This window comes from Homo sapiens, assembly GCF_000001405.40.
Source record: "Homo sapiens chromosome 1 unlocalized genomic scaffold, GRCh38.p14 Primary Assembly HSCHR1_CTG7_UNLOCALIZED".
NCBI classification, from domain to species: Eukaryota; Metazoa; Chordata; class Mammalia; order Primates; family Hominidae; genus Homo; species Homo sapiens.
This window is the reverse complement of record NT_187367.1, coordinates 34,217-60,678: the sequence shown is the minus strand read 5'-3', so window position 1 is coordinate 60,678 and position 26,462 is coordinate 34,217. Positions and strand designations below refer to the sequence as shown.

General features: G+C 46.3%; 1 pseudogene; it reads left to right on the top strand.

The window, feature by feature from the left end:
- The first annotated feature begins 6,657 nt into the window (after nucleotides 1–6,657).
- Nucleotides 6,658–7,364, top strand: LOC101929830 (uncharacterized; annotated as a pseudogene).
- The last annotated feature ends 19,098 nt before the right edge of the window (nucleotides 7,365–26,462 follow it).

The window sequence follows — 26,462 nt, the reverse complement described above, 5'->3', positions numbered from 1 at the left end:
AGGGCTTCCTATCAGCCCAGGAGACATTACCCGGGTCTGGGAAGCCTGCTCTGCATTTGTGGGTCTCGAATTGTCTGTTGCATTTACCTGCCTCATTATTTTTTCTTCCTGTCTCTCTTCTTACATATTTCTTTCGAATTTGGAGCTTGTTTTTCTTAACTACAATCAACTTGAATCATTACTGCATATATAAATATAAATTTTATATTGAGTAGACATTATATACTCAATCTACTACACATTCCAACACGGGCCATATCTAAGACGAATATTTATATTTAATGTTTAAAATATGTTTACATTTCATACAGAAAAATATATTTATATTTAATATATATGTGTATATTTAATACAGGAAATATATATTTATATTTAACATATAAAAATATATGTTTATATTTAATATGGGAAATATATGTTTATGTTTAATATACATAATACATGTTGATGTTTAATATAGAAAATGTATAGTTATATTTACTATGCAAAATACATGTTTATATTTAATATAGAAAATATGTTTATATTTAATGTACAGGATACATATTTATATTTAATATAGAAAATACATATTTATATTTAACATATACAGTATTTATATTTAATGTATAAAATATGTTTACATTTAATGTGCTGAATATATGCTTATATTTAATGTCTAAAATGTCTATATTTAATGTATTGTATACATTAAATGTACCAAATGTATTCTTATATTTAATGTATAAAAGATGTTTATATTTAACATATAAGATATGTTTACATTTAATGTATAAAATGTTTATGTTTGATGTATAAAAGATGTTTATATTTAACGTATACAATTTATATTTAATGTACCAAATATATTATTATATTTAATGTCCAAGCCAGCCAAGCCAGTCAGCCAAGCCGGCTAAGCCACCCACCCAGCCAAGCCAGCCAAGTGAGCCAGCTAGCCAGCCAGCCAAGCCAGCCAAACCAGCCAAGCCAGTCAGCCAGCCAAGCCAGCCAAGCCAGACAGCCAGGAAAGCCAGCCAAGCCAGCCAAGCCACCCAAGCCAGCCAAGCCTCCAGCCAGCCAAGCCAGCCAAGCCAGCCAGCCAGGCAAGCCAGCCAAGCCAGCCAAGCCAGCCAGCAAGCAAAGCCAGGCATGCCAGCCAAACCAGCCAGGCAGCCAAGCCAGCCAGCCAAGACAGCCAAGCCAGCCAACCAGCCAAGCCAGTCAGCTAGCCAAGCCAGCCAACCAGCCAGCCAGCCAAGCCGGCCGGCCTGCCAGCCAACCAAGCCGGCCAGACAGCCAAGGCAGCCAAGCCGGCCAGGCAGCCAAGCCAGCCAAGCCTCCCAGCCAGCCAAGCCAGCCAAGCCACCCAGCCAGCCAAGCCAGCCAAGCCACAGAGCCAGCCAGGCCAGCCAAGCCACCCAGCCAGAAAGGCCCGCCAGCCAGCCAGCAAGCGAGCCAAGCCAGCCAAGCCTGCCAGCCAGCCAAGCCAGCCAAGACAGACAGCCAGCCAAGCCAGCCAAGCCTGATAGCCATCCAAGGCAGCCAAGCCAGCCAACCAGCCAAGCCAGCCAGCCAGCCAAGCCAGCCAAGCCAGCCAGCCTGCCAAGCCATCCAGGCAACCCAGCCAGCCAAGACAGCCAAGCCTGCCAAACCAGCCTGCCAGCCAAGCCAGCCAAGCCAGCCAGCCTGCCAAGCCATCCAGGCAACCCAGCCAGCCAAGACAGCCAAGCCAGCCAAGCCAGCCAGCCTGCCAAGCCATCCAGGCAACCCAGCCAGCCAAGACAGCCAAGCCAGCTGGCCAGCCAAGCTAGCCAATCCACTCAGCCACTCAAGCCAGCCAAGTCACCTGTCCAGCCAAGCCAGCCAAGCCAGCCAGCCAGCCCAGACAGCCAAGCCAGCCAAGCCAGCCAAGCCACCCAGCCAAGCCGCCCAGCCAGCCAAGCCAGCCAAGCCGCCCAGCTAGCCAGGCCAGCCACCCAGCCAGTGAGCCAAGCCAGCCAAGCCAGCCAGGCAGCCAAGCCAGCCAAGCCAACCAAGCCAGCCAGCCAGCCAGCCAAGCCAGCCAAGCCGCCCAGCTAGCCAGGCCAGCCACCCAGCCAGTGAGCCAAGCCAGCCAAGCCAGCCAGGCAGCCAAGCCAGCCAAGCCAACCAAGCCAGCCAGCCAGCCAGCCAAGCCAGGCATGCCAGCCAAGCCGGCCAAGCCAGGCCTGGCAGCCAAGCCAGCCAGGCAGCCAAGCCAGCCAGGCAACCAAGCCAGCCAAGCCACCCAGCCAGCCAAGCCAGCCAAGCCAGCCAGCAGGCCAGCCAGGCAGCCAAGCCAGCCAGCCACCCAGCCAGCCAGGCCAGCCAGCCACCCAGCCAGCCAAGCCAGCCAGCCACACAGCAAGCCAGGCCAGCCAAGCCACCCAGCCAGCCAAGCCAGCCAGCCACCCAGCCAGCCAGGCCGGTCAGCCACCCAGCCAGCCAAGCCATGCAAGCCAGCCAGCCAGCCCAGACAGCCAAGCCAGCCAGCCAGCCAAGCCAGCCAAGCAAGCCAGCCAGCCAGGCCAGCCTGCCACCCAGCCAGCCAAGCCAGACAAGCCAGCCAAGCCAGCTAGCCACCCAGCCAGCCGGCCCAGCCAGCCACCCAGCCAGCCCAGACAGCCAAGCCAGCCAAGCAAGCCAGCAAGCCAAGCCAGCCAAGCCAGCCAGCCAAACCATCCAGGCAACCCAGCCAGCCAAGCCACCCAAGCCAGCCGGCCAGCCAGTCAGCCAAGCCAGCCAACTAGCCAAGCCAGCCAAGGCAGCCACCAGCCAAGCCAGCCAAGCCAGCCAAGCCAGCCAGCCAGACCAGACAGCCAAGCCAGCCAAGCCACCCAGCCAGCCAAGCCAGCCAAGATACCTAGCCAGCCAGGCGTGCCAGCCAGCCAGCCAGCGAGCCAAGCCAGCCAAGCCAGCCAGGCAGCCAAGCCAGCCAAGCCAGTCAAGCCCGCCAGCCAGCCAAGACAGGCATGCCAGCCAAGCCAGCCAGGCAGCCAAGCCAGCCAAGCCAGCCAGGCCCTCCAGCCAGCCAAGACAGGCATGCCAGCCAAGCCAGCCAGGCAGCCAAGCCAGCCAAGCCAGCCAGGCCCGCCAGCCAGCCAAGACAGGGATACCAGCCAAGCCAGCCAGGCAGCCAAGCCAGCCAAGCCAGCCAGCAAGCAAAGCCAGGCATGCCAGCCAAGCCAGCCAGGCAGCCAAGCCAGCAAAACCAGCCAGTCAGCCAAGCCAGGCATGCCAGCCAAGCCATCCAGTCAGCGAAGCCAGCCGGCTAGCCAAGCCAGCCAAGCCACCCGGCCAGCCAAGCCAGCCAGCCAAGCCAGCCAAGCCAGCCAACCAGCCAAGCCAGTCAGCTAGCCAAGCCACCCAGCCAGCCAGCCAGCCAAACCAGCCAAGCCACCCAGCCAGCCAGGCAGCCAGCCACCCAAGCCAGCCAAGCCACCCAAGCCAGCCAAGCCTCCCAGCCAGCCAAGCCAGCCAAGACACCTAGCCAGCCAGGCCTGCCAGCCAGCCAGCCAGCGAGCCAAGCCAGCCAAGCCAGCCAGGCAGCCAAGCCAGCCAAGCCAGTCAAGCCCGCCAGCCAGCCAAGACAGGCATGCCAGCCAAGCCAGCCAGGCAGCCAAGCCAGCCAAGCCAGCCAGGCCCGCCAGCCAGCTAAGACAGGCATGCCAGCCAAGCCAGCCAGGCAGCCAAGCCAGCCAAGCCAGCCAGCAAGCAAAGCCAGTCATGCCAGCCAAGCCAGCCAGGCAGCCAAGCCAGCCAAGCCACCCAGCCAGCCAAGGTAGCCAAGCCAGCCAAGCCATCCATCCTGCCAAGCCAGCCGGCCAGGGAAGCTAGCCAATCCACTCGGCCAGCCAAGCCGGCCAAGCCACACGGCCAGCCAAGCCAGCCCAGCCACCTGGGCAGCCAAACCAGCCAAGCCACCTGGCCAGCCAGCCAGCCAAGCCAGCCAAGCCTGCCAGCCATCCAAGCCAGCCAAGACAGACAGACAGCCAGCAAAGCCAGCCAAGGCTGATAGCCACCCAAGCCAGCCAAGCCGACCAACCAGCCAAGCCAGCCGGCCAAGCCAGCCAAGCCACTCAGCCACCCAGCCAGCCAGGCCAGCCAGCAACCCAGCCAACCCAGACAGCCAAGTCAGCCAGCCAACCAAAGCAGCCAAGCCAGCCAACCAACCAAGAGAGCCAGCGAGCCAAGACAGCCAAGCCACCAGCTAGCCAAGCCACCCAGCCAGCCAGCCAGCCAAGCCAGCAAAGCCTCCCAGCCAGCCAAGCCAGCCAAGCCACACAGCCAGCCAAGCCACCCAAACCACCCAGCCAGCCAGGCCCACCAGCCAGCCAGCCAGCGAGCCAACCCAGCTAAGCCAGCCAGGCAGCCAAGCCAGCCAAGCCAGCCAAGACCTCCAGCCAGCCAAGACAGGCATGCCAGCCAAGCCAGCCAGGCAGCCAAGTCAGCCAGCAAGCAAAGCCAGGCATGCCAGCAAAGCCAGCCATGCCAGCCAAGCCAGCCAGGCAGCCAAGCCAGCCAAGCCAGCCAGCCAGCCAAGCCAGGCATGCCAGCCAAGCCATCCAGCCAGCTAAGCCAGCCGGCTAGCCAAGCCAGCCAAGCCACCCGGCCAGCCAAGCCAGCCAGCCAAGCCAGCCAAGCCAGCCAACCAGTCAAGCCAGTCAGCTAGCCAAGCCAGCCAAGCCACCCGGCCAGCCAAGCCAGCCAGCCAAACCAGCCAAGCCAGCCAACTAGCCAAGCCAGCCAAGCCAGCCAAGCCGGCCCAGCCAGCCAGCCAGCCAGCCGAGCCGGCCAAGCCAGACAGCGAGCCCAGCCAGCCCAGCCAGTCAGCCAGCCAAACCAGCCACCCAGCCAAGCCAGCCAGCCACCCAGCCAAGCCAGCCAAGAGACCCAAGCCAGCCAGCAAAGCTGGCCAAACCAGCCAAGCCAGTCAGCCAAGCCAGCCAAGCCAGCCACCCAGCCAAGCCAGCCAAGCCAGCCAACCAGCCAGACAGCCAACCCAGGAAACCAAGAGACCCAAGCCAGCCAGCGAAGCTGGCCAACCCAGCCAAGCCAGTCAGCCAAGCCAGCCAAGCCGGCCACCCAGCCAAGCCAGCCAAGCCAGCCAACCAGCCAGACAGCCCAGCCAGACAGCCAGCCCAGGCAGCAAAACCAGGCAAGCCAGCCAGCCAAGCCAGCCAAGCCAGCCAGCCAGCCAAGACAGCCAAGCCAGCCAAGCCAGGCAAGCCAGCGAGCCAGCCAAGCCAGCCAACCCAGCCAGCCAAGCCAGCTAAGACAGCCAGCCAGCCAAGCCGGCCAAGCCAGCCAGCCAAGCAAGCCATGCAAGCCAGCCAGCCAGCCAAGCCAGTCAAGCCAGCCAGCCAGCCAAACCAGCCAAGCCACCCAAGCCAGTCAGCCAAGCCAGCCAAGCCAGCCAAGCCAGTCAGCCAGAAAAGCCAGCCAAGCCTGCCAGCCAGTCAAGCCAGCCAAGCCAGCCAGCCAGCCAAGCCAGCGAAGACACCCAGCCAGCCAAGCAAGCCAAGCCACCCAGCCAGACAAGCCTGCCAAGAGACCCAGCAACCCAAGCCAGCCAAGACACCCAGCCAGCCAAGCTAGCCAAGACACCCAGCCAGCGAAGCCAGCCAGCCAGCCAGCCAGCCAAGCCTGCCAAGCCACCCAGCCAGCCAAGCCAGCCAAACCACCCAGCCAGCCAAGCCGGTCAAGCCACCCAGCCAGCCAAGCTGGCCAAGACACTCAGCCAGCCAAGCCAGCCAGCCAGCCAAGCCGGCCAAGCCACTCAGCCAGCCAAGATGGCCAAGCCACCCAGTCAAGCCAGCGAAGCCAGTCAGCCAGCCAAGCCAGCCAAAACAGCCAGCCAGCCACGCCAGCCACCCAAGCCAGCCAGCCAAGCCTGCCAGCCAGCCAAGCCAGCCAAGCCAGCCAAGCAGCCAAGCCAGCCAGCCAGCGAAGCCAGCCAAGACAGCCAGCACACTCACACACACACACTCACACGTACACACACTCACCACCCCATGCCAAGAAGATACACAGAAAACTCACTCACCTTTCACTTGAGTTTGCAAATTTGGAGCTGACTTAATGAAGGAAAAAAAAATTACAGCTACAAAGTAACACAGAGCCAATGAAAAGACAAAAACCACCATTAGATTTTCTTCTTTTCTAAAGTTTTATTTTATTTTTAAGAGTCATCGTTCGGATCAGGCGCAGTGGCTCACGCTTGTAATCCCAGCGCTTTGGGAGGCTGAGGTGGGAGAATCACAAGGCCAGAAGTTCAAGACCAGTCTGGGCAACATAGCAAGATCTCATCTCTTAAAAAAAAGTACAAAAGTTAGCTGGACCTACTGGTGCAGACCTGTATTTCCAGCTACTGGGGAGGCTGAGGTGGAAGGATGGTTTGAGTCCAGGAGGTTGAGGCTGTACTGAGCCATGATTGCATCACTGCACACTCCAGCTTAGGCAACAGAGCAAGACCTTGTCTCAAGAAAAAAACTCCATAATGATTGTACACATTTATGACATATAATATACTGTTTCCAAGCACGTGTATATCATGTAATGACACCTCATGGTAATTATCAGATCCAGCTGCTCAGAAATCTCATTTTCCAGTGGCTGGGGTATACGCATTTTTTTTTTTTTTTTTTTTGAGACAGAGTTTCGCTCTTGTCACCCAGGCTGGAGTGCAATGGAATGATCTTGGCTCACTGCAAACTCCGCCTCCAGGGTTCAAGCGATTCTCCTGCCTCAGCCTCCCCAGTAGCTGGGATTACAGGCATGTGCCACCACGCCTGGTTCATTTTGTATTTTCAGTAGAGACTGGGTTTCATCGTGCTGGCCAGGCTGGTCTCGAACTCCTGACCTCAAGTGTTCCACCCACCTCAGCCTCCCAAAGTGCTGGGATTACAGGCGTGAGCCACCGAGCCTGGCCAACCCTCTCGTCTTTCAGGGGCTTAAATAAAATTTGCTTTTCTCCCCAAAGGCGGGTCCCCACCCCATTCAGCCCAGTTTCAAAGGGTGGAGTGTAAACGGTGGGTTGCCCAATTCCTGCTGCCATGAAGTACTTCAGCTTACAGCAGAAAGCCAGGCGCAGACACCATGCTTTATTTCTATTTCTACGAACAAGAAGCGTCTCTTGCAGTCTGCAATATTTGTTGTCAAAAATTTCACTGGGTGTTGTATCAAATCAGCCACCTCTATAGAGTGTGATCGTTGACAATTTTTTGTTACATCCCGATGGCCGTTTTACCTGGACCATTTTCTTCCTTTCATGGGTGAAGCAAAACTCCTTGGTAGACTTTTTTTTTGAGACAGAGTCTCGCTCTGTCGCTCTGTTGCCCAGGCTGGAGTGCAGTGGTGCGATGTCGACTCACTGCAACCTCCGCCTCCCCCGGGTTCACACCATTCTCCTGCCTCAGCCTCCCCAGTAGCTCGGACTACAGGCACCCACCCACCATGTCCACCTAATTTTTTTGTATTTTTAGTAGAGACAGGGTTTCACCGTTTTAGCCAGGATGGTCTCGTATCCTGACCTCGTGATCCGCCCGCCTCGGCCTCCCAAAGTTCTGGGATTACACGTGTGAGCCACCGCACCAGGCCAATGTGATGATTATCTATGGATATACCCTGATCATCAGCAGGAGGAAATGAAGAGGTATTGGTTAAAAATACAAAGTTGCAGTTACGCAGGATGAATAAGTACTAATTTGTAACAATTCAGTATGAAACAGTGTGACCGTGGTTAACAAGGCTCTGCTCTATGCCTGACATCTGAGAACAGAGGAATTGAAGTCTGAACTTTGTCCAGAAGAGGATGGCTTTGTAGGCTTTGCTGAGCATGCTGAATTCACGGTTTCCGGGTCAGCCCCTGGGCTGCCCAGGGACAGGGTGGAAACCCTGCCCCAGAAAGTCCAGGAGCCAGGAACCTGCTTAGAGACACATTTCAACAAGGAAAACCACACTCAGGCCGGCCTCCTTAAAAACACATAGGCCCGGCGCGGTGGCTCAAGCCTGTAATTCCAGCACTTTGGGAGGCTGAGGCAGGTGGATTGCCTGAGTTGAGGAGTTCGAGGCTGCGGTGAGCTATGATTGCACTCCAGCCTGGGCAACAGAGTGAGACCCTGTCTCAAAGAAATAAACAAATAAATGAATAAGCAAGCAAGCAATTTTTAAGTTGAACATCAGTTCTCTACTTGACTCTAGAGTTAAATAGGCATCCAGTTGCTTTTTGTGTTTATTTTTATATTCACTGCTTTTGCCTGCAACTGTGTTTCTGGTTCTAAGTAAATATAACGTATGCTACTGGTACACATACGTCTTAGGCAACATATATTTCATTCACTGGATTGTTAGCTCTGTTTTGTTTTGTCACTACTTTAGTCCCAGTACCAATAACTGTGCCAGGCACAAAGTAGGTGTTTAGCTAATATTGTTAAATGAAGAAATACAAATATTTGATTTTATCACTTGAATCCTCATTTATTAGTACTGCACTATCTTTTCTTAGCTGTTTTTGTGAACATATGTGTGCTGCTTTTTTACCCTAACTAGATTGGAAGTACATTGTGGGTAGAAACTTGGTTTTATTTGTTTTTCCTATATTCTCCTTTACAGCAGTTTAGACCTGATGGGAAGTAGGTATTTCCCAAACACGTGATTGAACTGAAATACATTGGTAGATTTCATTTTATCAGGAGACTGCCAAAAGTATAGTCATAAATAAGGAATTTGGAAGAGAATCAAAAAGCTAGTATGTACTCATCTGTCAGCTTGAAGGCCTGTATAAGACTCCATACTTCTGTGGAGTAAAAAGGGTAGGGTTCTGGGGCTGGACGCGGTAGCTCACACCTGTAATCCCAACACTTTGGGGAAAAAAAGAGGGTTCTGGGACTATTCTTTGCTTCTTCTTCTTTTTTTTTTTTTTTTGAGACAGTTTTGCTCTGTCATTCAGGCTGGAGTGCAGTGGCATGAATTCGACTCACCACAACCTCTACCTCAGGTTCAAGCAGTTCTCCTGCCTGAGCCTCCTGAGTAGCTGGGATTACAGGTGCTTGCGACCACACCTGGCTAATTTTTTTATATTTTTAGTAGAGATGGGGGTTTTACCATGATGGCCAGGCTGGTTAAGAACTCCTGACCTCAAGTGATCCGCCCGTCTCGGCCTCCCAAAGTGCTAGGATTACAGGCGTGAGCCACTGCACCCGGCCTCTGGGACTGTTCTTTTCCTTGCTCCTTAACAGACTATTTCCTGCTTTTTGTTTTGTTTTGTTTTGCTTTGCTTTGTTTTTTGTTTTTGGCCTTCTAACTGTGTTACAAATGGTTTAAGTCAGTGGTTCTCCAAGGGTGGTCCCAGATCAGCAGCGTTATCACCTGGGTACTTACTAGAAATGCAAATTCTTGGGCCCCACTCCAGACCTACTGAATGAGCAACTCTGAGGGTAGAACCTAAAAAATTGTGTTTTAACAAGTCATCTGGGTGATTCTGATGGTAAAGTTTGATGTCACCAAATGATAATGACGCTTTTTTTTTAAATTGAGATGGAGTCTTGCTCTGTCGCCCAGTCTGGAGTGCAGTGGCGTGATCTTGGTTTACTGCAACTTCCACCTCCCAGGTTCAAGCAATTCTCCTGTCTCAGCCTCCTGAGTAGCTGGGACTACAGGCACACGCCACCATGTCTGGCTAATTTTTGTATTTTTAGTAGAGATGGGGTTTCATCATACTGGTCAGGCTGGTCTCAAACTCCTGACCTCAGGTGATCCACCTGTCTCGGTCTCCCAAAGTGCTGGGATTACAGGCATGAACCACTGTGCCTAGCCTGATAAAGACACTGTCTTTAAGAGAGAGGGCTAGAGGCAGTGATTATGTGCCAGAGAAAACTAGCAGCCTAGATTTAAGAGGATAATATAATCCAAAGCTTTTCAGAGGGAATAGATATAGTTTATAGAAGGCATTAAGACATAAAGCAGATTATTGAAACTTCACTGTACACTGTAACCATATAATTGACTTTTACTTATATATTTCCTCTTTTACTTTGAAGTTTGTGTTCAAATCAAAAGATGAGAACCTTAAATTAATCAAGTTTTATAATATTTTATTTTAGATTTTTGTAAAAGTGAATGCTTTTTATATTCCATAGCAAGTAACTGAAAAGCTACTGAAAAGTGTCCAACCCAAGAATTTTGTGTATTTTTCATTTTGAATATACTTCTCAGTTATTTCAATTTTGAATCCTAGCCCTTTTAAATTTCAGAATACACAGTAGTTTAAAATGGCTTCAATAAGGCTGGGCGCGGTGGCTCGCACCTGTAATCCCAGGGCTTAGGGAGACCGAGGTGGGTGGATCACGAGGTCAGGAGTTTGAGAACAGCCTGACCAACGTGGTAAAACCCTGTCTCTACTAAAAATACAAAAATTAGCTGGGCGTAGTGGTGCGCACCTGTAATCCCAGCTACTCAGGAGGCTGAGGTAGGAGAATTACTTCGACCCCGGGAGGCTGAAGTTGCAGTGAGCCGAAATCTCACCACTGTACTACAGCCTGGGCGACAGAGTGAGACTCCGTCTCAAAAGAAAAAAAAAGGGTGGGGGGGCTTTAATAAATTAAGTGGTACATTTTAAATATTTTAATTGTTTATTAGATATTACGTATGCAGATAAACCTGTTTAAATATAGAAGATTTGTATTCCTATTTCCATATATCCTTTTGACAAATTAGAATTGAAAATAATATAAAAATAAATTTTCAGCTGGGCACGGTGGCTCACATCTGTAATCCCAGCATTTTGGGAGGCCGGGGCGGGCGGATCACGAGATCAGGAGATCGAGACCATGGTAAAACCCCGTCTCTACTAAAAATACAAAAAATTAGCCGGGTGCAGTGGCGGGCGCCTGTAGTCCCAGCTACTCAGGAGGCTGAGGCAAGAGAATGGCGTGAACCCGGGAAGCGGAGCTTGCAGTGAGCTGAGATGGTGCCACTGCACTCCAGCCTGGGCAACAGAGTGAGACTCCATCTCAAAAAAAATAAATATATAAAATAAAAAATTAAATAAAAAAATAAATTTTCTTTCTGTCATGCAGACTTAAATAGTAAAATATCTTCCTTCTATTATTTTTATCTTTTTTGTTTATGTTGGTTAGGAAGTGAATATCTAATTTTCTATACTGTGAAAAATACACAAAGTATCATGGAAGTTCAACATTCATTTTCCTTGAAAATAATTCCAAAGTTTTCTTCTCCAGAAATATATCCTGTTATCATTAAGTTTAGTTGTACTGATAAATGGCAGTTGATGATTTGTAAGTTTTTAAACATATTTATTCATAACACTTATTTTTTTTCTTTTTGAGACGGAGTCTCACTCTGTTGCCCAGGCTGGAGTGCAGTGGTGTGGTCTCGGCTCACTGCAACCTCCACCTCCTGGGTTCAAGCAGTTCTCTGCCTCAGCCTCTCAAGTAGCTGGGATTACAGGCACCTGCCACCACGCCCGGCTAATTTTTTTTTTTGTATTTTTAGTAGAGATGGGGTTTGGCCAGGCTGGTCTTGAACTCCTGACCTCGTGATCCACCCGCCTCGGCCTCCCAAAGTGCTAGGACTACAGGGGCGAGCCACCACGCCCTGCCTTTTTTTTTTTTTTTTAAAGATGGAATCTCACCGTGTCGCCCAGGCTGGAGTGCAGTGGTGCGATCTCTGCACACTGCAACCTCCGTCTCCCGGGTTTGAGTAATTCTTCTGTCTCAGCCTTCCGAGTAGCTGCGAATACAGTGACTGGCTGATTTTTGTATGTTTAGTGGAGACAGGGTTTCACTGTGTTGGCCAGGCTGGTCTCGAACTCCTGACCTCAGGTGATCCCCCCGCCTCAGCCTCCCAAAGTTCTGGGATTACAGGTGTGAGCCCCTGTGTCCGACCTATTTTCCTCTTTTTCTTTTTACTTTTTCCCTTCCCTTTATTTCTTCCTTTCACTGTTTTCATCTTTTATGTCTCTCACCCTCGCCCTTCCTCAGTTCAATTCAAAGAGCAATATACTGCCATATCTGGAGAATTTTTAGCTGGAATTTAATCTTTATTTTAAAAGAGTAAGAATTTATACCAATTATTATGTTTTCGACTGAGGTCGTTTTACAGAAGGAATTCTTTTTTTTATGTAGGAATGTGTTTTAAGACTTTTTGTTTCTAATGTCTTAGTTTTCTAGAGAAAAAAAGGTAAAAGATTGACATTATTCTCATAGTCTTTTACTCTTTTCTCAAAGGTCTTAGTTCAGGTCCTAATTTTCTTTCAATTATACTCATTTATTTAACCAGTCTCCTTTAGGTGGTCATTTGGGTTGTATACATATTCTTGTCTGTGTTTTATCAGTAATGTATTATATAATTTCATGTATGTACAAATAAATATTTGAAGGATAACATTCTAAAATTGCTGAGTTAAAGGGTATATGCATTTATAAACTTGACAGATATTACCAGTTGTCCTCTATAAAGTGAAACTGGTTTATATCACCACAGCTAACATATAAATGTCTGTTTTCTACCATATTATTAAATTACTGAACTTTATCCATCTGATGGAAAAGGAGAAATCTGATTGTACTTTATTTTTTATATTTTTAATATTTTTATGAGACTTCTTGGCATGTTGGCCAGGATGGTCTCAAACTCCAGCCTCAAGCAATCCTCTCACCTCAGTCTCCCAAAGTTCTGGGACTACAGGCATTAGCTACCATGCCTGGCCCTGATTACCACCCCACCCCCCCCCCCCGCCCCCTTTTTTTTTTTTTGAGACAAGGTCTCACTCTGTCACCCATGTTAGAGTGTGGTGGTGTGATCACTGCTCACTGCAGCCTTGGCCTCCTGGGCTGAGGTGATTCTCCTGCCTCAGCCTCCCAAGTAGCTGGGACCACAGACACATGCCACCATGCCTGGCTGATTTTTTTAATTATTTGTAGGGAAGTGGTCTCGCTATGTTGCACAGGCTAGGCTCAAACTCCTGAGCTCAAGTTATCCTCCCACCTCGGCCTCCCAAAGTGCTGTAATTACAGGACTGAGCCACTGTGCCCAGCCTCTGATTATACTTTTAATTGTAATTTCTCTTATGCTTGAAGTTGAACATATACAGTAAAGACTTTACGGTATTGTAGGCTGAAGTTTCAGAATCATCCAGGACCAATGATGTTAGCAGAAATGCAAAACTAGCCAAGGAGTATCGAGAGGACAAAATTGATAATTGATATTGTTATTACCTTCAAAGTTTGATTGCATTGATTAGCTTATTATTTTTATTAAAATCATTTTAAAGAGCATATAAAGTTCTATGCCAAAGCATGTTTGGCCTGACAAGTTGGGCTGTCACTTCCTTTTGACAAGACTTTCATTTTTATCAGCTTTAAATGCATGTGTCATTACTATTCTGGTTAGGTAACATAATTATCCCACTGCAGAATATATAATTTCAAAAGAGTCTTGTGGATATTTGATGCCTTTTCCTCTGAAAACAATTGAATTGTTTTCAGACCACTTTTATTTCAGTAAGATAAATGTAATCTTTCCTTTAATTGTAATGTAGAATTTAAGAGCATATTGAAATGAAAAGAAAAGCTCAACACTACCTATATTTTGAAAGTTATAAGAGACTAGATAAGTTGGATTTTATGTTTCTTGTGGTACCGAATAGAAACAAAGGTCATTCAAACTAAGTTTGAATGAGAATTAAGTTTAATGGCTCACTTGCTAAACCTGAGTTGCACAATCCTCACAATTCCTTAGGGATGTGGCAAGGTCATCCTTAAATGTAAAGTTCTTGCTCACTTAATGGAAAGCACTGTAGATACATAAATAACATTGTTACCTGTCTTAGTGGGTCAGTATAAAAGACGGGGGTGGTGGTATATGTGAGAATAGTGAAATTTATAGCTAGTTTTGAGGCCCTTGTGACTTTTAAGAGGTATTATGAGTCACTTTAACAAGTTAGTGTTTGTGACATAGTTTCAATTTCTTATGTGAAAGATAGTATTTCAGTTGTAAATGTTCTTTTAATATTCTGGAGAGCTACTCTTTCCTAGCCCCTCTGTTTTACTGACTTTAAAAGTTGTTTACAGTTTGTTTCATGTTCAAATGTAGGGTTTTAGTAATTCCTTGGGGTGGGGGGCAGGAATGGGCAGAAGGCCATTGTCTCTAATTTTCCTTTTCCCAACTTTCACTTTCTTTTTTCTATGGATTACATGTCAAGGTGGGTGAGAAAAATGGTGGGGATTGAGAAAAGGGAGCAATTTATTTTTTGTAGGGGAGGTCCAAAATAAAGTCACTTAAGGAATCTGTCATAAAATTTAAATATATGATGAAGCTTGTGCAAGGGGATTATAAGAACTGATTTTACTTTAACCCTTCCTGCTTTATAAAAAGATCTTGTTGATGGCAAAAAGACAAACGCTTTAGCAAACTGTACTGTACACCTTGCATTTGTTTGTATTAATATTAGTTGTTTTATTTTTTAATATGGAGTCTCACTCTGTTACCCAGGATGGAGTGCAGTGGCGCAATCTCGGCTCACTGCAACCCCTGCCTCCTGGGTTCAAGCAATTCTTCTGCCTCAGCCTCCCGAGTAGCTGTGATTATAGGTGCCATCAGGCCCGGCTAATTTTTGTATTTTTAGTAGAGACAGGGTTTCACCATGTTGGTCAGGCTGGTCTTGAACTCTTGACCTCAAGTGATCCACCCGCCTCAGCCTCCCAAAGTGCTGGGATTACAGGTGTGAGCCACCACACCCGGCAGTATTAGTTGTTTTATATTGTAGACTCTTAATTGATGTGGACTATGTGTTGTAAAATCCCTACCCTGAAGTACAATGCATTTAGATGTCCCCCCGCCCTTTTTAACTTAAATCCTTTTTCCCCCTTGCAGTCAGTGCATTTTTATATTTCTACATGCTTTGTGAGAAATGTGTAAAGGAAATATTTTTGCATCTAATTGTTCTAACTTCCAAAGGTTCTTTACTGAGTTAAAAAAAAACTGTTTTTTTTTTTGGTCTAAACTGAATTTTGTCTGTCTTTCCCCTACTCAGGCCCAGATTACCTTCCTACAGGAAGAAAGGAAGGGCCAAGAAAATTTGAAGAAGGATCTTGTGAGGAGGATCAAAATGTTGGAGTATGCTCTTAAACAGGAAAGGTAATTCAGTAAAATGAAAAGTGGTGTTCTTTTTTGTTTGTTTTGAGATGGAGTTTCATTCTTGTTGCCCAGGCTGGGGTGCAATGGTGCGATCTTGGCTCACCGCAACCTCCACCACCCGGTTCAAGCAATTCTCCCACCTCAGCCTCCCCAGTAGCTGGGATTACAGGCATGCACCACCACACCCAGCTAATTTTGTATTTTTAGTAGAGACGGGGTTTCTCCATGTTGGTCAGGCTGGTCTCGAACTCCTGACCTCAGGTGATCTGCCCACCTCGGCTTCCCAAAGTGCTGGGATTACAGGTGTGAGCCACTGGGCCTGGCCAAAATGGTGGTCTCTTAAATGTTGGAATAATTTTTTCATCATTCCTAAAATAAATTGAAATGTTAATACTGCTTGAGTTCAGGTGTGTCTGTAGTAAACATTTGTATGAATGGTTGTAATATGTTAATTTTATTATGAATAGTTTGATAACGATCAAAAAATTGATTTATATGATTTCTTAAAAATTAGCAACATTTTTTTCCTACTCTGCCTGTTTTGAAGAAGCAGATGTGCTCCCTGAGCTGTTAATACCCATTCATTTTAAAGTTGAAATAGTTTTTAATTTTTAAAGGAGGTTTCTATAATGTTTACTCCTTTTCCTGTCATTTAATATTATTCAATTTGATGTATTTTCTTTAGAAAAAAATTGTTCTAGCAGACTATGTTAAGATTCTATATAGACTTTTTTTTTTGAAACGGAGTCTCGCTCTGTTGCCCATGCTGGAGTGAGGTGGTGCAATCTCGGTTCACTGCAAGCTCCACCTCCCAGGTTCACGCCATTCTCCTGCCTCAGCCTCCCAAGTAGCTGGGACTACAGGTGCCCGCCACCACACCTGGCTAATTTTTTGTATTTTTAGTAGAGATGGGGTTTCACCATGTTAGCCAGGATGGTCTCGATCTCCTGACCTCATGATCCCCCAATCTTGGCCTCCCAAAGTGCTGGGATTACAGGCGTGAGCCACCGCGCCCAGCCTATAGACTTTTTTTGTGTATTTTGTTTCTTTGCTGTCTGCCGTTACAATCTGTCCAGAAGCTTGTCTTACCTTTCTATTTTGCTAGTGTCTAAGATACTCCAGTAACTAAATTTGGGTCACAAGTAAAGGAAAATAGGTCATGAGTGAGATTTTTAGATGTTATATGAGTTATTTATTTGCTTTAATGAATGGGCCTTGGATTTTTTTGTCGACAATCTGAGTTCATTTGTTTAAGATAACTGAGTACTTATAGGTGATATTGGAATTATCTATTTTGCTACTTTCTTGCTTTGTTTTTAATGATGCTTGTTTTGTTTTTCTCTTTTTGAAGTTGGTGAATGGGATATTTGCAATAAAATAGCATTTAGATGCAATTAGATAAATAGATGATATTTATGAGTAATGAGAAACAGATAAAATTTTATTAGAACTTACGTTCATCAACATATAGAATGGTGTAAGAGATTGAAAATAGGTTGACCTCTTAGTGAAAAATACGTGTTTCTTTTCATACTTTGGGAAAGTTGATGAAAAGCTGTATCAGGGACATGGAAAGAAAAAAACATTTTTAGGCTGGGCGTTGTGGCTCACGCCTGTAAACCCAGCACTTTGGGAGGCTGAGGCGGGCAGATCACAAGGTCAGATCAAGACCATACTGGCTAACACGGTGAAACCCCATCTCTACTAAAAATATAAAAAAATTAGCCAGGCATGGTGGCGGGCACCTGTAGTCCCAGCTACTTGGGAGGCTAAGCAGGAGAATGGTGTGAACCCAGGAGGCGGAGCTTGCAGTGAGCCGAGATTGCACCACTGCACTCCAGCCTGGGCGACAGAGCAAGACTCCATCTCAAAAAAAATAAAAAAAATAAAAAATAAAAAACATTTTTAAAAATACATAATTTGGGAGTAGTGAGATTTTTTTTTTTTTTTTTTTTTGAGGTGGAGTCCTGCTTTGTTGCCTAGGCTGGAGTGCAGTGGTGTGATCTCGGCTCAGTGCAACCTCCGCCTCCCGGGCTCAAGCAATTCTCCTGTCTCAGCCTCCGGAGTAGCTGGGACTACAGGCGCATGCCACCATGCCCGGCTAATTTTTTTGCATTTTTAGTAGAGACAGGGTTTTCACCATATTGGTCAGACTGGTCTTGAACTACTGACCTCAGGTAATCATCCACCACCTCAGCCTCCCAAAGTGCTGGGATTACAGGGGTGAGCCAATGTACCTGGCCGAGTATTTGAGATTTTTTTTTTGAAACGGAGTTTTGCTCTGTTGCCAGGCTGGAGTGCAGTGGCACGATCTTGGCTCACTGCAACCTCTGCCTCCTGGGTTCAAGCAGTTCTCCTGCCTCAGCCTCCCGAGTAGCTGGGATTACAGGCACTCGCCACCATGTCCAGCTAATTTTTGTATTTTTAGTAGAGACGGGGTTTCACCATGTTGGCTGGGATGGTCTCAATCTCTTGACTTTGTGATCCGTCTGCCTCAGCCTCCCAAAGTGCTGGGTGGCGTGAACCACTATGCGTGGCCTGGAGTGGTTATTTTCATCTGGAAGAGGAAAGTAGAAAGGAGTGCAGAGTAAGAGGAGGTGAGGCTTGAATAGCATCAAATAAGAAGGTGCTTGTCAGACAGACAAGGTGCAGGAAGTAGAGAGAACATGTTTGACATGGAACAAAGCAGTTTGGTGTGTTCAGAAATTTGTAATCTTTGTGTGTGGAGAGTAGGATGTTGGTTGTGGTCCTCCTCTCAGTTGATGACCGATAATGGTAGAGGGGGCAAGAGTCAGATCACAGAGAGCCTAACCAAGGAGTTCAAACTTTTATCTTACATGTAACAGGGAATGTGGGAGGTTTAAATTTTTTTTTTGAGACAGGGTCTTGCTCTGTTGCCCAGGCTGTAGTGCAGTGGCACAGTCATTGTTCATTGTGGTGCCAACCTTCTGGGCACAAGTGATCCTTCCACTTCAGCCTCCCAAGTGGCTGGGAATACAGATATACTCCAGTCCACACAGACAAATTTTTAATTTTTTAGAGAGACAGGGTCTCACCCTGTTGCCAGGGCTGGTCTGGAACTCCTGGGCTCAAGCAGACCTCCTGCTATAGCCTCTCAAAGTGCCGTGATTATAGGCGTGAGTCACCATGCCCAGCCAAAAATATTTTATCTAAAATGATCTCAAACTAATAGAGGAGTTGCAAGAATCTTGTATACCCTTTACCCAGATTCACCAATTGAAAATGTTTTGCTATATTTGCTTTATTGTGTTTGCTCTCTCTGTAGGTATCACTTTTTCCCCTAAATCATTTGCTAGTTTGTCCCTAACTACCTCTGTGTATATTTCCTAAGAGCAAGGACATTTCCTTATGTGATTATAGTACATTACCAAGTTAAAGAAATGTAACATTGATATTCTATTATCTGATATAGTCTATATTCAGATGTTCTAAAAAGGATCTTTATAGCTTTTTTTTTCCCCTGGTCCAGGATCCAATCTGGAAATATATACTGCATTTAGTTGTTAAGCACTTGAAAGTTTTAAGCAAGATAGAGTATGAAATACATTTTAGAAAGATCTCCTGACCTCAGTGTGGGGGTGGACTGGAAAGATCTGTAAACACAGCCAGAAAGATTGTAATAGTCTAAGATGAGAAATGATAACACAGTAGCTGCTGAAATAGAGACACATCAACTATAAAAAATTTTTAAGTACAGTCCATGAAATCTGAAGCTTATATAAAAATTTGGAGATGGGACAGGGGGTGAGTGAGAAAGATAATTTGAGAATGACTCCCATGTTCCTGGCTTGAAGGACTATCTGAATTGTGAGAGACTTTTAGAAGGTATCCAATGAATTAAAAAGAAGAATTAAAGAGCAGATATGTGAGGGGGACGCATGATGAGAGATATATGCTTGGGAATCATCAGTATTATTGTGAATGAAGTGAAAGGAGTAGTTGATAGAACAAGTATTGTGGAAACAGAAAAGAGAACTAGAAGGAGTGAGAGGAAGTAGAAATATTTGAAGAGAAGGCAGAGGAAGAAGAGCCAACAAAGAAATAGAGAAGGAAGGAGGAGAGAGTAGTATTTTGGAAGTGAGTTAAAGGAGGAAGTTCAATAACTGAAGATGCTAAGTAGACTCCAAGTAAGTTGTATACTGAAAATAGTCATTTGGAGTTGCCAGTTGGAAGCTTACTAGTACCCTTACTAAAGCAGCCTCAGTAAGGCAGCAGGAACATGAGCCAGATCACAGAGGACCGAGGGCTGAGAAGGATGAAGTGGGGAGAGATGGAGTTGCTTATTATTATTATTTTTTTCTTTGAGACAGAGTCTTGCTCTGTCACCAGGCTGGAGTGCAGTGGCGTGATCTCGGCTCACTGCAACCTCCGCCTCCTGGGTTCAAGCCATTCTCCTGCCTCAGTCTCCTGAGTAGCTGGGACTACAGGCGTGTGCCACCACGCTGGGCTAATTTTTGTATTTTTAGTAGAGATGGGGTGTCACCATCTTGGCCAGGATGGTCTCGATCCCTTGACCTTGTGATCCGCCCTCCTTGGCCTCCCAAAGTGTTGGGATTACAGACGTGAGACACCACGCCTGGCAGAGTTGCTTATTTTTTTAAGAAATTTGACTCTGAAGGACAGTAGAGATAAGGAACTGGCTGAATCTAGGGAATATTTTTTTCTTCTTTTTCTTAACTAAATGGGATTGCTCCTGGAAAAGAGTTCCTGCTTTTGTGTCTTTTTTTTTTTTTTTTTTTTTTTTTTTTTTGAGATGGAGTTTTGCTCTTGTCGCCCAGGCTGGAGTGCAATGGCACAATCTCGGCTCACTGCAACCTCCACTTCCCGAGTTCAAGTGATTCTCCTGCCTCAGCCTCCCCAGTAGCTGGGATTACAGGCATGCACCACCACACCCAGCTAATTTTGTATTTTTGGTAGAGACGGGGTTTCTCCATGTTGGTCAGACTGGTTTCAAACTCACAACCTCAGGTGATCCGCCCACCTCGGCCTCCCAAAGTGTTGGGATTACAGACGTGAGCCACCGCACCCAGCCTGGTTTTGTATCTTTTGAAGTATATGGAATGATTTGGGATTATTCTTGATGTTATGGCACTATTTGTATAATCTAAGAAATTTTTAAAAAGCATTTATTTGTGGCTTGAATTTTAAATTGAATTTTTAAAAAATTTATTGAGGAAAATTTGAAATATACTCATAGAGAAACTAATGTCTTTGATATATAGCCCCAAGTTTTAACAGTTAATGTTTTTGTCAGTCTTTTTCACCTTGATCTATTTTAATGCAATTCCAGATACCTCGTCATTTCACCTGTAAGTGCCTAAGTAAAGATCATGATTTTACATGATTTTCTTTGCATGATTTTTGCAGATTTTCTAAGTAGTTCCACTTTAGGATCCAAAAGTAAAACCGAATTATTAATGTTACAGAAGAATTACCTACCTAGCAGTGGATTTATCAAAGCATTCCTGTCTGGGAAGACCTGGGCTTCCCAGACAGGACTGAGGATCATCACACGGTGTTCAACACATACCACCAGGGGCAGGTGCACCCTGGCTTCTGAAGTAGCACCTGAGAATCCCCTGTGTCTAGTACCTGCTTCATGAATAACATTCCATAGGCTTCGGAAAGACTGTGGTTTAGGCTCTAATTTATTCAACTTGAATAATTTCTCCTTGAAATACTGAGAATAGCTTCTCTTTTGCTGTACAAATTCCAATTATCCCATAACACAGACTCCTCAGTTGGACTTATCTCTCTTCTTTATTCAGTCAGGACAGGCATTGTCACATCTTTTCTGCTGGGGATGAGGGTGAAAGAGGCTTAGGGTTCAGAGGAACCTCCCTGGCCTCCTCTAGGAAAATCTCCCAATGACTTTCCAAACCTGACTGAGTTTGAGAACTTCCCTCAGCAGATAGAGGCACCGGAAGGAGCATTGGGGCAGCCCAGCCTCACACATCTGCTTCCTTGGGGATTATGTTATGACTTGTAACGCTGTGGGAGGGGTACTGTCACTCTGTTGACAGTAATAAGTTGCAAAATCTTCAGGCTGCAGGCTGCGGATGGTGAGAGTGTAGTCTGCCCCAGATCCACTGTCACTGAACCGAGAGGGAATCCCACTTTGCAGACTGGATGCAGCATAGATCAGGAGCTTAGGAGTTTTCCCTGGTTTCTGCTGATACCAATTTAAATTATTGCTAATGCCCTGACTCGCCCGGCAAGTGATGGTGACTCTGTCTCCTACAGATGCAGACAGGGAGGATGGAGACTGGGTCATCTGGATGTCACATCTGGCACCTGAAGTTGGAAACATAAAAACAAATATTGTCGCAATTAATCATGTTATCAGAGGACTTCCCTGAAGTTCCAGACAGTACTGAGCACACTGACCGAGTATAATCCTAGTGTTCTCCTTCCTTACCTGGCAGCCAGAGCACCAGGAGCCCCAGGAGCTGAGTGGGGGCCCTCATGTCTGTGCTGTGTCCTGACTGGGGCTGACTCCTGCACCGGGTGTGACCAGCCTATAAAAAGTCTTCAGGGCAGGGGGCTGTGCTCTAGGAACAGGCAAATCAGCAGGGGATGGGGCAGGCTGAGCACAGCTGCAGGGCTGGCTCATCTCAGTAACTCAGCACAGGGGCGCAGTATCCCCAGAGTCCCAGGTCAAACCAGGGCAGCACAGATTTACCTTGAAAGAATGCATTTCTCATTGGTGGCCATATGGTTACAGAACATATGTTTGGAGTGAATTTTCAAAATTTTAAATCAACCTAAGACTAGATTAAATAATATATTTATACTTGTATTAGGAGTGTATAGGAAAGCATCATTTTTGGCAGAAAATTTACAATAAAGTTGTAGAATGTGGGGCTGTCAGAAATTTCAGTTAGTCTCAAAGGAATTTGATGAGTGTAAAAGTATTTAGTGCTATAATAACAATGTCAGTGTGAAATTGCTTCTTGTTTGAAATGAATATAAAAAGAATTTATCAGAAGCATCTTTAATAAATTCAATAGAATTTACTAACAAACTTAAGACATTGTCCCTAGGAGTAAAAGGAAAAACAATTCTCTGAAGATGCACAAAGATGATAACTGTGTCACGCATAGATCTGCCATTATCCAGAGCTATGGGTCTCTTTAAGACCCAGGGGCTAAATGGGCTGCACCTTATTCTTGGTGTGATGATCCCCATATTCTATCCCCTTTCCTGCCTTTGGTATAATTTCTTATGGTTCTCCAGCATGGAGAGCTGACTAGTAATACCAGGTCTCATTATTTCAACTAAAATCTCTGTTTCACTCGCTGACTATAGGAGCCTGGATTAAAATCAACTTGAAGCCCTGTATCAATCTAGGCCCAAATAGTCAATTGTTTCAAAGTAGGATGACAAAGGCCACATCCCCTGAGTAATGCTCTGAGCTGCGCTCCCCACCAGCCTGTTCCTGGGGTCTCAGGAGCATCTGCCCTAGAGTCTGGCTTTCTGGAGAGCAGGTGAGGGGGAAAAGCCAGGTCAGTGAGCCTCTCTCCTTAGCGAGGGCAGCTGCTGCACAAGGCATGTTCTTGCCATGCACCAGGGCATCATCCTGACCCAGATGCCAGCCACCCTGTCTCACATGCATTTAGAGAGAATCTCCATCCTCTGCCAAGACACTGCCCATGTAGATGAAAAAGTGTTTTGCATCCAAACATATCTTAAGCACTGATTTGAACCTCAATACTTCACGCAGATGCCTTTGCCCAGGGCGTGTCGGCCTGGCTCAACAGCAGGGGAAGTGGAGCCAATTACATCAGTGTCAGTGGACTGAGAAATACTCCAGGGAGTAGTTCTCATGCACGACTACGCATGGCCAGACCAAGGTAGTGCAGCCTATGCACAAACCTCCTCCTGCTTTTCCAGAGGACTGGATTTCTGGGAAATGGCTACCAAACAGGCTGCCAGGATCCATATATCCAGATTCAGAGAGATACATCTCTGGATTCAAATGCACTTTTTCTTTGTGCATAATTTTAGCAGTCATTGTTACTATGCCTTGGGGATTCTAGACATTATACTTCAGCTGACTCTCTATGGCCCTTTCTCCCCTTCACTGCTCTATCTGAACCTGGGGAAGCAGCTCAGGCTGCAAATGAGGCAGACCTCATGGCCTGGAATTAGCATCCCCTAGGACGGTTGTCAATCAGTGATGACAAGGGAGGTGTACACATCCCCCAGCTCCCTCACCTCTCAGGTGGAATAACAGAGGCATTTTTCCTGTGTTTCTATGTGGGCTTGAGCGCTCGTCATCCTCAGAGGTGGCTCCTTCTGAGGCACTTTTCACTTTCCCTTTCCCTCCTCCCCTCCCTTGCTCACTTGCTTGTTTCCCGCACTTTGTAAATATACTGCCTGCATGCGAATCTTTGGCATCCTTCTCACTGAGGGGACCCAACCTAATGCATTGGAAAAATCCTCATTCTTGGAGGGCATCGTTGGTTTGAATTATTGCCACTTCTCATGTTTTAATGCCTAGGGAAATTCCAAAAATTTAGGAAATCTTTAAATTCCCTTTGCCAATCTTTCTTAGATTTGATTTTAGCAGAGATTCGTTTTCTCTAGGTCACAAAATCACAGAAGCCTTCCACAAATGGCTACACAACATAGAGTCCACATAGAGCAGAGGCTCAGAATCTCCCAGGATTTGACATCCACACATCAGACAGTCCTAGAGTCTCATGTTTTTTCTAGGTCGATCGCCTCATAAATCTGCCTTGTGATATTTTTATTCTACCTTAGGGGAAGGCCATTGTGTGGATGATGAGAGTTGTTTGTGGAATGAATAATACACCCACTAAAGACATCATTGTCCTAATATCTGGAATCTATGATCATTACTTATGAACAAGTCAAAAATAACTTGGCAGACGTGGTTGAGAATTTTGAGGTCAGGAGAATATCCTGAATTATCTGGGTGAGACCATCATAATCACAAGGGTCCTTACAATAGGGAGGGAGGAAGGTAACAGCCAGAGAGGACCTGGGACAATGGACAGGGAAACTGGAGTGATGGAGGAAGGGGCCATGCTGCTAGGAATGTGGGAACATCAGAAAGATGGAATGCTCGACATTGGATTCTCTCTCTTGAAGCCTAGAATGAATAGAGCCCTATTACTCCTTGATTTTACTTCATTGAGACTTCTGACCTCCAGAAATGTAAGATAATACACTTGTGTGATGTGGAGCAGTAAAGTTGTGGTAATTTGTTACAGCAGCAACAGGAAACCAATGCAAGGGGAAGGGGTGTGTTTTACTTCCCTAGTGTATCACTGTCCTCTGTTCTCCCAAGTAGTTCTGTGTTTTTGTGTTTGCTGTCAATTTCAACAAGAGACAGAAAACATTTTTCTATGAGGAGAGCTAGTACCACAATTCTTCTTACGTAGAAAGTGTCTTGAGTAATTCTCTGGGTTAGGTCTTGTACAATCTTGGTATCTGAGAGCCTGGAGGTCATCTCTCACAGCACATGAGAAGAGGAAGGGGATGCGGGTTTGCTGTTTTAACATTCATAGGGCAAATTGGATGTACAAGACCCATTCTTTTTATTATTATTATTATTGTTAAGTTCTAGGTTACATGTGCACAACATGCAGGTTTGTTACATATGTATACATGTGCCATGTTGGTGCGCTGCACCCATTAACTCGTCATTTACATTAGGTATATCTCCTAATGCTATCCCTCCCCCCTCCCCACACCCCACAACAGTCCCCGGTGTGTGATATTCCCCTTCCTGTGTCCAAGTGTTCTCATTGTTCAATTCCCACCTATGAGTGAGAACATGCAGTGATTGGTTTTTTGTCCTTGCGATAGTTTGCTGAGAATGATGGTTTCCAGCTTCATCCATGTCCCTACAAAGGACATGAACTCATCCTTTTTCATGGCTGCAAGCGAGGACTGAGTCAGAGAGATGGGGATGGCAGAGGAGACAAAATGTGGTCAGGGCCGTGTAAGATGTGACCCTGCTGCCATATCTGAAAGAAAGGCTGTTGGTGTTTGTAAAGGCTTTGGGCAATTGTGCTTTGTAGACAAAACTGTAGAAGGGTCTGGGTTTAAGCTTAGTGTCAGCGTGATGAGGACTAGAGGTCGCAGTGAGCTTGTGTTAAGAAATCCACCCTGCACTTCTGGCTTTGTCTCTTTTCTGGTTTTATAGGTGGTGGGTCCCTCTATGGAATGAATGTGGCTCTGTGGAAGGAACATAAGTTAAGGTCAGACAGACCTAGATTCCAATTTCAGCTTCGACAACTGCTGACCAAGTGACTTTTATGCAAATCAGCCATGTGCTGTCATGAACAGTTTCCTCATGTGTGAAATGGGGCACTGAGGATGTGAAGGGGTGTCCTGAGGGTTCCGCCAGCTGATGCACCATGAAGTGTACATCCATGTATAGACAGACACACACACATACATGAGAAGAGTATCTAGTGCCTCTTTTATGCATTCTTGAGTAACTCAGAATGTTATGTGAGATATTAACAGTCATATGTCATTTTCAACTAAAATTATCAGTATTTATCTTATAACTAACAGATGCTTCTCTGTACACTGTAGGTTTCATGTACATTTCTTCAATCACAAAATTTTTCACCAATCTATTTACGTCTAGTATCAGAAAGTTAAGCAAGGAGATTGCAAACCAACACAACACCTTTAGTCTGGATTTTCCTGGAGCCCATTTGTGTTAGTGTCCTCGGGCTACTGTAACAAGTTCTCAAAAATGTGGTAGCTTCAAACAACAGGAATGGAATCTCTCATAGTTCAGAAGTCCAGATCAGTTTCACTGGGCTAAGATCTTGGAGTCATCAGTTCTGGCTCCTTCTGAAGCTCTAGGGAGCAGTCTGATTTAGCTCTTCCAGCTTCTGGTGGCTTCTCTCTCCCGGGATGTGGACACATCACTGCAATCTCTGTCTCTGTGTTCACACTGCCTTCTCCACTTCAGTCTATGCTAAATGTCTCTCTACCTCTTGTTTTTTTTAGGACACTTGAGTTTGCATTTAAGTCCCAGTTGATTAATCTAAGACCATCTCCCTGTTTCAAGCTCCTTAATTTACACCTGCAAAAGCTGTTTTCCCAAATGAGATACATGCATAGTCTTCATGGAATGAAACCTCACTATTTGGGGATGATACTCAGTACTACACCATTACATAACCAGGTCTCAGTGTTAGTCCTGTACATACATCACAATCTCTCTCTCTCTCTCTCTCTCTCTCTCTATGTCCACACACCCTGGCTTCCTCCTTTTCTCAATGTCATAA